This window comes from Homo sapiens, chromosome 1, assembly GCF_000001405.40.
Source record: "Homo sapiens chromosome 1, GRCh38.p14 Primary Assembly".
Classification (NCBI taxonomy): domain Eukaryota; kingdom Metazoa; phylum Chordata; class Mammalia; order Primates; family Hominidae; genus Homo; species Homo sapiens.
Window position 1 is genome coordinate 223,330,987 of NC_000001.11, and position 15,884 is coordinate 223,346,870.

Consider the following 15,884-nt stretch of genomic DNA (forward strand, 5'->3'; position numbering starts at 1 on the left):
CATACTCCTTTTGCTGCACCCTCCCCGCCCCCTCCCATTGTCATAATCACTGGCAGAGGTGCACCAGCTGTCTCATGGGTGAGGGCATTTCTCCACGGCAGGCCTACCCAAGCCCTTCAGTGCATCCACTCAAAGGTCACCTACTAAACTCGTTTGTTTATACTTTAACAGCAGATTCCTACTATTTTTGCTGACGGAATTAGCAATCATAACTGCTCAGGATGGTGATGACTGCCAAGAATCAGAAGAGTAATAATCCTGACTTAGATTCAATTTGGGGGCGCTTTGGAGTTCACAAGGTGTTTTCACATTCCAGCATCACAGAGAGACCTGCTCCTTAGCACAGAACATTGCCCTGGGCCACTGAGGTTGCAACTGCAAGCCTTTCCTTTTTTCTTTATTCTTCTCATTCCCAGCCAGCTGTGAAACCTTGTGTGCCAACAAAGCTCTGTCATTTCCAGCAAAAACACAGCTGAACCTGTGTCCCCCTGTGGTTGGGGTTGAGCACAACTAAAAGGGCCTCCAAAAGGCAAATGCAAGCACGGCCTGGCAATCACAGTCTTTCCACTCCGCCTACTTAAAAGCCCTTGGTTGATCTCCGAGGCCTTTGATGCTATCTGCATAAGTCAGAAAAGGAGGTGCTCAGGGCCTGAGACTTTCAAACAGCAACTTGCCTGACAAACTCACACATTTTTCGAGGCCTCAACTCATGGGACCTTTTGTCCTCTTCCTAATCAGGAGAGACCGACTCCATCTGACCAAGCCATCTGCTCCCCAAAGCAAGGCTCAAGGCTGCACCCCAGCCTGGTGGTGTCAACTCAGAGATGCTAAGGAAGACGTGTGTTCTCCTCTGCCTCCCCTAGAAATCACCCTGCAAACCCACTGAAGGCCAATGATGAAATGTCCAGGTTGTATTGCAAACAACAGCGAGACAAAACTTTAATCCTAAAGGGACAGTTTGAAATCCCAGTTTCCCATCCCCCTCACCATGCTGACCTCTCACCTGTGTTCTGCTTCATGAAATCCCAATGTGGCATTTCTGGAGGGCTTCCTTGAACCCGTGCAGAGAAAGCTGAGTGATGGGGCACAGTGTGAGCCTGGTTACAAAGCCCCCTATTCTCCAGTTGCTGATTTCTAGTCCTCTTGGGCAAATGCCAATTGCTAAGTGAAACAGCACTCAGGGTGGTGTGTCAGGAATGCTCTGTGTAGCCATAAAATACCTAAGATGTGGTTCATAAAATATTTGGAGGGTGCTAGTAGGAAGCATGGCTAGGCTACCTCAAAGCAACTTGTTTTATACAAGCTCATATACACACATATCTACAGAAAACATCATAGTGTATGTATAAATGGCATATCTATATTCAGACACGGTACCTGAATTTCCAACAAGCATCAAAAGGATTAAATTGCTTTGGTGAGGTCTCTTACAAAAATTGGATATTTACTGCTGCTAGTATCTGTAACAATTTTCAGGCACTAGCATTACCTAACACCAGCTTTCCTAGTTCATTGCACAGAGATATATAAAGTTTCTTAGGATCTGTCCATTTAAACTAGAAGTCGTTAGCTATTTTTAATGCTGTAATTTGGATTCAAGACGTAAAAAATACATCTCAGGCACTGAAACATGGCCTGACCACACTGTAGCAAGTAATTCTGCAATTCTCAGTGACTGCGGGTAGCCGTGGGGAGACAGGCATCTCCTCGGACAAGCCTCTCCTTCAGGGCGTGTGTCACAGGGAAACGGAACCAGGGGTAAAACTTCCTGCTGAGGCTCGGAGGTCTAAGGTTTGCTCCTTCTCTGTCCTGCCCCTGTCCTTTATGCCTACCTCCAGCTAAGCGGGTACTGGGGAGGGTGGGGACCATCCTGGGAGTGCCTTGCAATGGCCATCTTCCCATCTTCTACCATGTTCTTTCTGACGGAAGAAATGGCCACCTGCTCCTGATACTCTGCGTGGAAGCTGCCGCAACTGCACACCACACCCTCCTCTCCCACACAGTTGTCCTGGGGAAATCATGTCAGCACCAGGTGCAGGACCCTCAGAACCTCTTGGCCAAACTCTTTCCTTAGGCTTCTCCATCCACAGCCCAGCATGGCCTTTCTTCCTAAAAGAAACCCGCCAATCCAGGCACTGACTGTAACCTCCCCCGTTACGGTGACGGCAAAATGGTGCACACACCCACGGGTGCACACCCTCCTTACTGAGAGGCAGTGCCAGGAGCAGGGGGTGCAGCTTAGATCTACGTGCATTTCAATCCACACTCCACCACTCACCACTCTGCATGGGAAGTTACTTAACCTCTCTCTGCCTACGTTTCCACACCTGTAAACTGGGGCTATCAGCACCTCCTGAGAGCAACAGTGAGGATTCTGTGAGATTATACACAAACCACCAAGAAGAGTGCCTAGTCCTATTACTCAATCAAAAATTTTTTCTGAAACAAATTAAAATTAGTGCTTCCTGTTGAACATGGTAGATTGAACATGTGATCATTTTTCTCTTCAAAGCTCCACTGATATAAGAAGAAATAATTAAATGGCATATACCCCCAACAACACAAAAAGTAGGAGAAGTGACAATGCAAAAGACGTCTCTGCTTCTTTAGAAAATGGGAAGTAGATAAAGGAGTGAGCAGAACAGAGAAAGGTTAAGTAGGGGGCACCCTTGCAGAGCCATGGAGTCCCAGAAACGCTGGGGAATTGGAAGCACCAGGTTCTGCAGAGGTGGGGAGGGGTGCAGGGCTGAAAGCAGAGGGACTGGCTGAAATGCATAAAGAGGTCATTCCACCCCAGGTCCTCTCTCCTGGCTGGGGCTTCCAGATGACCACCTCCTTCCCCACCACAGCATGAGAGGACAGGTTCACTCTGTGGAAGCCCCAGACTCGGAGAAAACGAAAAGCCTTAGAGAAAAGCCCTATAGATGTGGACATTAGGGAACCACCTCCCACATTCCCCTACCTCCTATCCTCAGTAAAATGGCTGAATCTCAGCCCAGTCAATTTTCAGGATTGCCCAGGAATAGATAAGACCCACCCATGAACACAGAGCTTCTCTGCTTGTCTCAGTCTTAACTGCAATGGTCAAGGAAGCCCCCAATTTGAAAGGCAACCTATGAGGAAATACAAAACAATATAGAAAGAAAATACTATAATTAATATCCTCAGAGATACAAGAGAATATAATGCATCTACGAAACAAGAACAGAATGCTGTTTTAAAAGGAAACAGAGGAAGAGTTCCTTATCATTAAAATATGGTAGCTGAAAAGCTTCAACAAAAAAACCTGGAAAAAAAGTTATGGAAATCCCTCAGAAAAGACAGCAAAAAAGCACAGAGAAAGAAAACTGGAGAGAAAAGATAAGAACATTTAAGGATCAGGAAAGGAGTGCCAGCATCCTACTTATAGAAAATCCAGAAAGAAAAGAGAAAAATGAAGAGAAGGAAATCATCGAAGAATATTTTTTAAATTCCCAGAAATCAAAGGCATGAGTCTCCAAACTGACAAGGCTATAATAAATGAAGAGACCCCATACCATCTACCTTATTGGGGAATTTCAGAGAACCAAAGATAAAGAGAAAATCTGGGGAGAGGCTGGGTCACATATGAAAGACTAGAATCAGGGTGACATCATACTTCTTATTAGCAAAACTAGAAGCTGGAAGACTACAGAGTAATGCCTTCAAAATTATGAGGGAAATTTTTTAAAATTTTTTATTTCCGTAGGTTTTTGGAGAACAGGTGGTATTTGGTTACATGAGTAAGTTCTTTAGTGGTGATTTGTGAGATTTTGGTGCACCCATCACCCAAGCAGTATACACTGAACCCCACTTGTAGTCTTTTATCCCTCACCCCCTTCCTACCCTTTCCCCGAGTCCCCAAAGTCCTACCCTTTCCCCCTGGGTCCCCAAAGTCTCTTGTGTCATTCTAATGCCTTTGCATCCTCATAGCTTAGCTCCCACTTATGAGTGAGAACATACAATATTTGGTTTTCCATTCCTGAGTTACTTCACTTAGAATTATAGTCTCAATCCCATCCAGGTTGCTGCAAATGCCATTAATCCATTCCTTTTTATGGCTGACTAGTACTCAATCATATATATATATACCACAGTTTATTTACCCACTTGTTGACTGATGGGCATTTGGGTTGGTTCCACATTTTTGCAATTGTGAATGTGCTGCTATAAACATGTGTATGCAAGTATTTTTTTTCATATAATGACTTCTTTTCCTCTGGGTAGATACCCAGTAGTGGGATTGCTGGATCAAACAGTAGTTCTACTTTTAGTTCTTTAAGGAATCTCCACACTGTTTTTCTTAGTGGTTGTACTAGTTTACATTCCCACCAGCAGTGTAGAAGTGTTCTGACGGAAATGATTTTTAACCTAAAATGCTATGCTTTGCCAAGTTATCAGTTCAGTGTGAACAAAAGGCATTTCGAACAGCCAAATCTTAAAATATTTACCCCATATCTCTTTTCAGTCAATTTTCAGTAATGCCCAGGAATAGACAAGACCCATCCATGAACACAGGGCTTCTCTTCTTGTCTCAGTCTTAACAATAATGGTCAAGGAAGCCCCCAATTTGAAAGGCAAACCATGAAGAAATATAAAACAATACAGAAAGAACAAGCAGTCATTAATACCCTCAGAGACACAAGAAAGCTAGTAAAAGATGTGCTCCATTGATTTAGGGCATAATCTAAGAAATGAGAAAACACAGATTCAGAAAACAGAGAATCTAACACGAAGCAGTCAAGCATCAAGATAACCAGGCAGCAAACCTAGCGAAGAGTCAGTCCCAACTGAGACGGTGATCAGAGGGCTCTGAGAAGAATGTCTACAGGGAAAAAGGAGATTTGCTAGATTACTTGTTGCACTTGACAAATAGGAAATGGTGTTAAGAAAAATTTTTAATTCTTTGGTCGATTTCGGGAAGAATTCATTATACTGTAGAAAGAAAATATTGCAAAGCAACAACAAAGTGATTGTTGACTCCTGACAGAACAAAAAGTTGTTTAAAAAAAAAAAAGAAAACGTCATTATAGTAGACTTTTTGGCCCAGGAGTAATAAGTATGTACAAAGCCAAGATGTAAATAATGACAGGCATGCGCCACCACGCCCAGCTAATTTTGTGTTTTTTAGTAGATACGGGGTTTCTCCATGTTGGTCAGGCTGGTCTCGAACTCCTGACCTCAGATGATCTGCCCGCCTTGGCCTCCCAAAGTGCTGGGATTACAAGCGTGAGCCACTGTGCCCGGCCAATAATGACTATCATTTTAAACAACAATTGGGAGACAACTACCTTGAGAGAAAGAAGAATGGGAAATGGGGAAGGAAACTGTCGTCATTCCCCATATTAAGAAATCAATAGGTAATAGCTACAATTTTTAGTATCTAAATTTTATAAATCAAAAAATATCAGTATAAGCAATTATCAAGAAACATGAAGGTAGCCGCATGACCAGTCAGAAGTATTGGAAGTGGCTGCCTCTGAGGCGTGAATAGCACTCAGGACTGGAAGCACAGCACAGAGACTGCTCTTTCTCTTCTGAAATCTTTGTCCAGAGGTCATGGTTTCTGTGCTTAGTAGAATTCATGCCTGTGTCTTATTTAACAGGTAAGAATTTTGGTAAATTCCTCTATGGACTTGTATGAACTGGCTTCATTTATGCAGTAGTATCTGGGTGACTGTAACAGAGAGCTTTAATCCTTTTTTTTTTAAGGGACTTGACAAAATTCACAAAGCTGATGTTCCAAGTGTGCTTGGAACCCAGCTCTTCTGGCTCCAAATCAAATGCTAATTCTATCTCAGCGAGTCCTATCACAGCATCTGGCACATTAGAGGTGTTCAAAGAGTATCTGGTGAAATGTGATGATTATGCCATACTCATGACTCCAGCCCACCTTGAACAGCCCAGAAACTCTCCCTTGAAGCCCATGGAACCTGGTGAGAGCTGGCCACTAAGATGGTGGAAAAGGACACCACCACCAGCTTTCCCACAGGAAGTACTTCATAAGTACTCTTCATACTTTGTCGTTAACTTGTTTTCTCCTACTGTACACTGGATAACGGTATGAGCTGTATCTCTCACAGGCACCGTAATTTGTTCAGTTCTCAAAATCAGCAGAATGCATAAATGAATGACATTTTGTAGAGCTCAAGTATTAGTTGAATAAATTAATGAATGCCACCTTACAGAGTTCAAATGTTAGTAGAATGCATGAAGAAATGAATGCCACCTTGCAGAGCTCAAATGTCAGTAGAATGTGTTAAGGAATGAATGATGTCTTCCATTGCTCAAACGTCAGTTGAATGTATGAAGGAATGAATGTCACCTTACAGAGCTCAAATGTTAGTACAATGCATGAATGAATGAATGAATGAATGAACGGCACTTTATAGAGCCTACCCACAGACTGTGTTGAGTGGATGAAACCTCAGATGTCTAAATTTAGCTTGAGGTGTGAGGGAGAAATATATCTAAGTAATGAACTCCTGTAAATACGGGTGGGGAGGTAATGGAAGTTCTTGCTGCAATTGGGTGTTAATAGCAGAAGCTCTACTGCAACCTAACACCAGGGGAGTAAGCCATCTGTTCAAAAGGTGGCAATTAGGACACCGCAGCCTGGAAGCCCAGACTCCAGTGCCTGCTTCTGTGAGCTGTGTACCAAATCGTCAGGACACATTGTCCCCTCCCTCACCTGTGCCCACTGCATAGTCACCGACTACATGGTCAGTTTACAGAGCCATCCCTCAGGGTGGCTTTTGTTCTCAAGAGGAAGGGCTGCTGTTTTTAGTATAAACAGAGGCAAAAACAAGGGAGGCTTAGAGGGAGAAAATGAGGCCAAAGCACACCAAACCCCTTAAGAAAGACATGAGGAACCCTCAGGGTCTGACAACTGGAGGCCACCCAGCCCTCTGGGCAGAGCCTCTTTCTCAAGCAAGACTCAATCTGTTCTACTCAAGGTTTCTGGACTCCTAGGGAATAATTGAGCTATTTTTTATTTCTTTAAAAAGGTGAATGGAAATAGTACATTTATCCAGGACAGATCTGCCAGGCTAATGCAAAAATTCAGGTTTCTTTGACTGGATTGGAAACACAGTGCAGTGAAAAAACTTCCCCCATGTTGAACACAGTGATATTTATGTAAACGTACATGTTTCACCAAAAATAGAGACACAAATTAACCATCGCTTCATAAAGGCAGTCAGGCTTTTTTAAAATGGAAGGTCAGTGGACTGAAAATAATACAAGGGACCCCGAGGAGTGAGGCCGGGAGCCGCTGTTCTCAGCCGAATTTCTGGGTCCTCTGCTTTGTCATCAGATCCCCCAGGGCTGCACAAGTACCCAGGGAACCTTCAGCCATTTAGTACAACTGAAAAAATGAAAGAAACAAAATGGGGGAAGCGGCCAAGACTGAGGCAGGAGAGAGGCAGGGTGCGTGTCACAGAGGGCTTTGTGTGCTATGCTTTGGAGTTTCTATCTCCCCCTGCAGCAAGGGGCACTCAGCAGTAAAAGGATGCAATCAAATATGTGTTTTGGAACAACTCTGTTCACCACAAGGAGGATGAGCTGGAAGGGGGCAATGCCAGAGGCAGATAACCCACCAGGAAGCTTTTCCAGCAGTCCAGGAGTAGCTGGAAGAGAGGCTGGATAAGAGCATGGGGAGAAGGGGTGATGCACTTATGCGAGGAAACTGCTGGGACAGGCTGCGCATGCAGCTGCAGGGTGGCTCCAGGCCTCTGATTTGTAGGATGAGGCAGATCTTAATGCCATTCACTGAGATGGGGAACATGGAGGGAGAGGCAATCTGAGGGAAGAATATAACTGTTTTAGACAAGCTGAGATATGTGGAGAACAACTCAGAGATGTCCAGTAAGCACTTGCATCTATGTCCTCATCAGAACCAGGAAAAAATCTGAGCAGGAGAAATACATCCAGTTCCAGGTGGTAATTCAACTCACAAGGGGAGATGAGGTCACGTGGGAAGACTGTGTGGTGAGAGATGGGAAGAGGCCAAGACAGAACTCCAGGGAGAGTGTAGGAGGAAAAGCAAAGGAGACCAGCAAGGACTGGTTAGAGGAAGAAAAAGCAGAAGGGAGTAATATCCTGGCAGTCACAGGAGGAGACCGTTTCAAGAAAATGAAGTAGCCAAGTGCTACAAAGAGGCTGAGAAAGAGGAGAACTGCAAGACCCATTGTGCACATGAGTTTGGTGTTTGCGTGTCTCTGAAGGTGACATTTACCAGGATAATTTCAGAGGAACGATGGGGGTGGAACCATATTGCTGTGGGTTGAACAGTGAGTCGGAGATGAGGAAAGAGACTAAATGTGGACTATTATCTCTAGGAGCTCAGCTGTGGAGGGAGGAAAATGTCAGGGCAGGGCCAAGATCAAGGGAAGGTTCATTTGAGAGGGGAGAGGTTGTATACATTTGCCTGCAGAGAATGAGCCAGCGGGGCAGGGGTGGGACAGGACAGAGGGACCCATCCCTCCAACCCGCCATCTCCCTTCTCACCTGCCATGCTCCCAAAGTCTAATCCCTGCCCCCGCCAGGTCCCTGTCAGATCTGGTGTGAGACTGAGGGAGTCACTGCAGCAGGGTTAGCAAACCTAGAGAGCCACCCATCAGAATCTCACGACACCTTTTAATGGTATGATTTCTGTGATCCTCCCAGATCTACCTTCTCAGCGTCTATGGGGGCAAGGCCGAGGAATCGTCTTTGCAGAAGTTCCCTAGAGATTTCTGAGGCATTCAGACACCACTAACTCAACAAGCTTCATGTGTATACACCTGAGGCCCCTCAGGAAGCAGAAGGCTGGGCCCCGGCTCCCCCAGGACTGGCTGGGCCTGAGGCCCACCGACCACTTTTCCGCTTACACACACTGAGCTGTTTCCAACAGTCTGAAAGGCAGACACTAATTTGCCAAGTTGAAGAAAAGGGGGCTCTCATTCCACCGGCTCCGCTCTGGCAGAACCACGACACTCAACTCCTTATCTCCTTATCTCCTTAAAGCCGTCTCCTTTACACAACAGGCCAGGAAGAATTGTGGGGAATCAAGCCCTGGAAGCAGCTGCTCCAATCGCATTCCCTGACAAAGACCACACGCAGCCAAATCCTGCAGGAGCATTGTGGCTGGTGCCATGGGCTTCAGTCTAGGCCCAGCACCCTGAAAAAAGCAGAATAACACCCAGAAGTTAAACACCCCATTGTCTGAGAACTAGGGAGGCTCATGTGTGCCCATCACTTCTTTGTTCAGACAGCTCAGCTCTTGTGAAATTGGTCCCATCTCCTGGAACAGACAAGAATCCAGGCACTGGCCTGTCCATTCTTCTGAGGGGGCAGAGGGCACAGATGGGCATCTGATAGATACAAAAAGATGCCCTGACCCAGTGAGACCTCTGCTTGGGGTGCAGAGCTGGGCCAGCACTCCATGCTGCAGCTGCAATGAAAAATGAGTCACCTTTGTGTTAGAGAAGAGACAGGAAAAGTGTCCTGGAGAAGGGAAGGCTTTGAGAGTAGTGTGCCACAATCAAAGGTAAGGAAGGAGCTGTCAACACGCAGTCCTTTCCATCCCTGCTAATCCAAAAGCAGCTTCTGTCCGCAGTCATGATATTCAGCCTGCTTTGACAGCTGGGGAGCTGGGTTTAGAGGCTCCAGGCAAAAGATCCAGGTAGAGGTCAGGTGAGCTCTTTCCCACAGGAGGGGAAATGTGTCCCTTCTCAGCCCTGTGATCTAGTTAGACAGGTAGTCAGAGAGACAGAACACATGCAAACAGGCCCTCACTGATAGAGAGTATGTCAAAGGCTGCTGAACTCCCCGGAGGAACATCTCTTAAATCTCTATTGTTTCAGAAATATAGTAAGCACTTAGCTGAAACTGACCTCTAGAAAAAGACACACTTGACCTCATCCACCTAATTCCCTCTGTGTTACACATATTCGTTTAATGTGGTTTGCATGTTAGGTGCCGATTGTTCTAAGAGAGAATAAAAGCACCTTGATTGCTAAAATACACATGTTTGATATGGAAAGTCCTAAAGCTTTCTTCCTCCTCTCGAAACAGATACTGTAATAATCTGGTGTTCTTTGGGGAGGTGTTTTTATTTTTCTTTTTGTTGCTGCTGTTGTAAATTTTTTATGAAGCCCAAAGGTAACAAGAACTGTGATGGTGCTGGGCCTGCCTGGTACTCCTGTCATGGGGTGCCCATCTGTCCCCCACTATAACATGGGAACCCGAAAGGCAGAGCCAGATGCCTGTCTGGGTACTTGGCAGTCCACAGGCACTGCTGCAATTAGCAAGCTGGATCATGATTCAGCATCTGACGCGGGCAGCCTCCACCAGAGCATAGCGGACAGCTTAAAAATAGCAAAGCCACGGCTGCATCTCTCTAGCCCAGGCTCCACACGAGGCAGGGCAGCTGCCGCCAGCAGAGCCTGGAGAGGGTCCCACCTCCCACCCACCCCCTCTCTGTCCTCCCCAGATCCACCTTCCAGCTGTGAAGGCTGAGTGGGAAGCAGAAGGGGCCGGCTCCCATCAAGCTCCCCCACGCAGAACACCCGATGCAGAAATGCCAGCGGTCTCCAGATCCACTGACGGGGCACCCAAGTGTTCTCAGGTTCAGGTCTTGTTTTAAATACACAAACGGAGGGACAATCAGCATGGCTCCCCCATGCCTCAGGCACCAAAACAACTGCACACGCAGCTACAACCACAGGGGTGCTCCCAACTCCCCCTTCCCAGTTAGTGACCAGTGGTGAGGGTGGGTGTGTCTCCCAGCCTGAAGAAGAGAATGGAAAGAGGCGGACTTTGTGCTTGGAGAGGCCTGGGTACAAACCCATTTCACCCATCTGCCAACAGAGACCACCATGCCTCCTGCTTGCCTATCACCACCCCCATCTGCGCCAAGTTAAGTAACTTCTCGGGGCCTCAGAGTCTGGTATGAAACAGAGCTAAAGATCGCTCATTGGCTGGTCACGTCGAGTGTAAATGAGGCAACAGGCAAAGCACTGAGGAGGGTGCCCAGCCCAGACGAGTCTCCAAAAATAAACATCCCTTGCCTTTCCTATTTCCTTCCTAGTCATGGCTGAGGTCTGCCCTGGTGGACCACAGCCACAGTGAAACCAGGGCTAGGAGGACAGGCGGGGGCCTGGGTACCCAAGACAGAGATCCTCAAAGGGCCCTCAGTGTCCTACTGTTTCTCTAGTGTTCACTGAAGTCATGTTCTCTAGGTCAGTGATATTTTGTAGATGAAACTGCAATGTCCTCAGGGCTGATGTTGTCTTTAAAAATGTTCTTTCTACCCAGGAACCCAAAAGGAGATTTAAAATAATGGAGAGGGTTGCCATTTTTCTGAGAATACTATTATTGAATAGATGTCCCTTCTCCCCAAATTAATCTACAAAATTAACAAAATGATTCCACAATTTATCTGGAAGAGTGATTTCATAGGACTAGCTGAGAACATTTTGAAAATGAAGAGTAATGAGTGGGGATTTGCTCTATCTGATTTTAAAAGGTACAAGTAGTAAAATAGTGTGGTTCTGGCACAGGAAGAGACATCAAATCAATGGAATATAACAGAAGGCCAAGAAACAGACCCAAATATCTATACAATGTTAGTATATTATGAGGGTGTTATTTCAAAACATTGGGAAAAGGATAGACTATTCAATAAATACTGTTGGTACAATTGGCTAACCATCTGGATAAAAATTAACAATATCCTTACATTTCCCAGCACGCAAATTGACTAAATGTTTAAGTATAACAAATAAAATATGAAAAATACAGGTGACTATGTAAATAACCTTGGGTTGGCAAAAACTTTCTAAGCCTAATACCAATACCGGTTTCTCTATGGCAGAAACCATAGAGAAAAAAAGTTGACTGCATTATCATCAATGCAATTAAAGGCCAGTAAAAACTGCAAGAATGAACATTGTTGATATGTGAAAGGTCAAATATTTGAAAAGAGTTTTACAAATGAATAAGAAAAAGATAAAAACATTAGCGGAAAAACAGACAAAGAACATAAGCCCAGAATTCAAAACAATAAACACAAATAGCCAATAAAAAGAGGAAGGCTCTCTACACTCCAGGCACACTGGCCTTCTTTCAGGTTCTTGAACATTCTATGCTACCTCCCAACAGAAGACCTCTGTGCTGGCTGTTCCCTCCACTGAGAACACACTCTCCCTTGATCTTCACCTGGTTCAAATCTATCACCTCTCCACGCAAAGCTAACTTTTACCGGAAGCCTTCCTTGAGCACCCCGCCCAGCTGGACCAAGTGAGATTCTCCTTCTTCTCCCTCATAAGCTCTTTCAAAGCTAAGTTGCTTTCCTTCATGGCACTTTTTACAGCTTGTACTTATTTTTGTGATTATTGGATTGTTTATCTCCCCCACTGGACAAACTGCCTCTGTTTTTGCTGACCAGTGCATGTGCAGCACGATGGTGAAAAAAATTATAGGGTATGCACAAAATAGAATACAATACGGTGAGTTACAATGATGCTCTAAAAGATTTATTTTTAAAAGATTAATAAAAATATGATATATTGTTAAGTAATACAAGTAGGTAACAAAACAATGTCTATATACTATTTGGGGGGAGAATGAAGATATATAGAAAAGAGACACACATCACTTTTCTAACAGAGGGTTAGTGTGACATTTATTTTGTTAACGTTGCTCATCCATATTTTCTAAAAAATTCAACAATGAATATGCATACATCTGCATATATATAGCTGCTTTTAATAAGGGAAAAAGCTTAAACCTAGCTATGGTTTCCCTCTGTAAACCCGTGAAGTCCCTGTGCAACTGCTGTAGGAACCACAGTGTGTTCCCTTTCCTTATCTTCTCCCTGACCCTTCTCCACCCTTCCAGCTTTATTTCCACCACCAACAGAGTACGAGAACATGGCCCAGATCCAAACCAACGTGTCAACCTCTGTTGAGCCACCTCCAAGTCCCAAGTTAGCCATTTTCAGGAAATAAAAACTAAATGTATGAGCACACAGCACTTTAGGAAAACCTGAGACTTCCACTAAATAGCTAGATTCCCAAAAACAGTTAAAATGGAATGTGAGTCATAATTTTTCAGAAACCTGTCTATGCTTAGCCTTCAGAACTGTCTTCTCAATAAATATATACAGACAGCCTGACCACCTAAGAAAACGGAGCAAGGGCATTTGCAGGTTTTAATACTGCACAGCAAAGATCATTCTGACAATATTTCAAAGAGATGGGTGATGTGTTTGGCATACATGGTGTACAAGATAAGCAAGATCTAGGGAGGCAACATTGTCGGGTGCTAGGGATAGAGTGGAAATGGCACCCAGCCTCTCAGATGAGTGTCTCACACAAAAATAAATTTTGTGAGTGTTCAATTACCTCCACCTGCCTGGCGCAGTGAACATGGTAAGGCTGTGCTGATGTTGCACTCTCCTGGGGTCTCCTTTCTTGAGAATAACAGTGGTCTGCTTATTTGTAGCTAAGGGAAGAGCCACTTTGCACTTAATGCACTGAAGGAATTGCTCAAGGACTGCTCACCCCCGAGAAAAGCTTAGCCTTGAAGGGCTGCCAAGGACAATGTTCGCTTTCCTTATCAGTGTGGGTTCAGTAGGTTCAGTCTGGTCACAGTGAGACTCAAACTTCAACTCCAGAAAAACTCTCCACCACTTCTCATGTTTTCCACACTCCGCAGCCCTCATTTAATCGGGATGGACATTTCCCACTGGGGACTGAGTGTGCTCTTCCTAAATCCAAGCAGGCCGCCCTAACATGATATGTACACGTGGAGGGTAGGCAGATTGCTTCCTTGGGCCCATCTGGACAGTTTTCCTGAGTTCAGAACATTTAGCACTCCTTGTTATGTTCAAGGCTGGGAATTTGGAAGCTAAAAGAAAAACAGATTCTGCAGAAATAATCGAAACTTCCTCTCTGGCCTCTCTTCACTTTCATTTATAACTTATCTACCCTCTCCTTCTCTACAGCTCATTGCTCTTACTTAAGGGAAAACTAAAGTTAATATAAGTAATTTGTTATTAAGTCTACATATACACTATTCCTGTCACACACTGTAAAGAAAATAGATAATTGGACATTGTGGTAACACCAGTGAGGATAACTTACATTGAAGTGGTGCTCACAAACATACAGTGAAAATGCTGTCCCCAAAGTCACTCATGAGCTGAGAACACGAGGTGGTCTTTCATTCTCATGGATCCCCCCAACCCCTTCAGAGGTCCGCACCACTAACCCCCTCTCTGAAACCCTCACATCCCTGGCTTTGGTAATGCTGTATCTTGGCTCCCCACCAATCTCTGTGAATATTCTCTTGGTATCTTGTGAGGAAACTGAGGCAAAGAGAGGTTCAAGGACATGTCCAAGATCATGTGCTTATTAAGAGATGGAGCCAGGGTCCAGATCCAGGCCCTGACGCTCCCTCTGATCATGCGCTTATTAAGAGATGGAGCCAGGGTTCAGATCCAGGCCCTGCCGCTCCCTCTCCTGCATCCCTCAGGGGGATCCCTCACAGTCCCTGTGTCCCTCAGTCCTCTCCCAGGACCACTACTGAACACTGATTATAATTACCGCTGCCCATGAGATGGTTCCTACATCACATTTATAACGCCGACGTCCGGCTTTCTATCACTTATTCTCAAATGCCTGCTGGGCAATTCCACCTGCATGTCAAAATTTAAGTATCTTAAGACCAAACTCATCATCTTTCTAAAATAAGCTTTTCTTCCTGACATCTCCATTGCAGTTAATGACTCCATGCTTCTTCTCTCTCATGCCTACACTAGAAACCCCTGGCTGCAACATCTTCCTTGGTCTGCCCTCTGCCCTCCAGAATTCAGCCTTTGAAATGTGCACCCTGGCTTTCTCTGCTGCCAGTACCTCCTCCGGGCCTTCAGCACCTCTCACCTGGAGCTCCTCCTCCTGGCTACTAGCTTCCATGTCTCCCTTCAGCCTCCCCTGCCTACTGCAGCAGCCAGGCCAATCACCCTAGGGCAGGGTTGCTCAGAGTCAGCCCTACGGACACTTGAGGCTGATCATTCTCCGTTGTAGAGGCCGTCCTGTGCATTTTAAGATGTTTCACAGCATCCCTGGTCTCCACCCTCTAGACAGTCGTAGCACACACCCTCTATTCCATCCGCTTACCCCAAAACCAAAATTGTCTTCAGACATTGCCAAATGTCCCCTGGGGGACAAAATCACCCCATTTGAGAACCAAAACCCTAACGTATGACTTAAACATGCTCCTCCGTTCAGAAACTCTCAGTGGCTCGTCGATGGCCTCCTGAGGAATCAATAAGAAGAAAATAGTTTTCAAAGATTAGGAAATTCATTTTCCTATTTATGATTTCCTTTCTCTTGAGGTTCTGGGCTTAACCACATTTGGGCTAGGGTTCAAGGCGTACTGCAGAAAGAAGGTCAAAGAGGAAAAGCAGATGACGTTAGCTGGCAAATCCATCCACGGTGTTACATCCCAAACTCCCATGGCTGAGTGCCCCCCAGCCTGGAAGCAGTGAGGCAAGGAGAGATGAATACCTCAGCAGGCTCCAGGGCCAGATGGCTTGAATTTGGGACCCAGCCCCACCACTTCTAATTCTAGGACCCTCAACCTACCCTTTAGCCTCTCTCTGCCCCAGTTTCCTCATATGAAAATAGGAATGAAAACGGTACCTAATTCATAAAGCTGCTGTGAGGCTCAGTGACTTCATTTATGTAAAGCACTTCAAAAGTGCCTGGTATGAACAAGTAATTGATAAATGCTACCCATTAATATTATTACTATTGTTACTACATTTCTTGCTATATTGCTGGTCTGTCTCCAAAACATGCCCTTGGTCCAGGCCAAAG

At 45.2% G+C, this 15,884-nt stretch overlaps 1 protein-coding gene across 13 annotated transcripts in view, besides 2 other annotated features; it reads right to left on the reverse strand.

Annotated features, from left to right (window-relative positions):
• The window catches only part of SUSD4 (sushi domain containing 4), a 144,405-nt gene that overhangs the window by 110,156 nt on the left and 18,365 nt on the right, over window positions 1–15,884 (reverse strand). The window lies entirely within an intron of this gene.
• Window positions 10,050–10,550: an enhancer, noted in NCBI's record as "H3K4me1 hESC enhancer chr1:223514378-223514878 (GRCh37/hg19 assembly coordinates)". NCBI's record gives its function as "activates a minimal SCP1, AML or CMV promoter by ChIP-STARR-seq in primed H9 embryonic stem cells {active_cell/tissue: H9 hESC(primed)}" and the evidence as "EXISTENCE:reporter gene assay evidence [ECO:0000049][PMID:30033119]".
• Window positions 11,041–11,218: a silencer, noted in NCBI's record as "fragment chr1:223515369-223515546 (GRCh37/hg19 assembly coordinates)". NCBI's record gives its function as "represses an EF-1alpha promoter that drives an FKBP-Casp9 reporter gene in an ReSE screen in HepG2 liver carcinoma cells {active_cell/tissue: HepG2}" and the evidence as "EXISTENCE:reporter gene assay evidence [ECO:0000049][PMID:32094911]".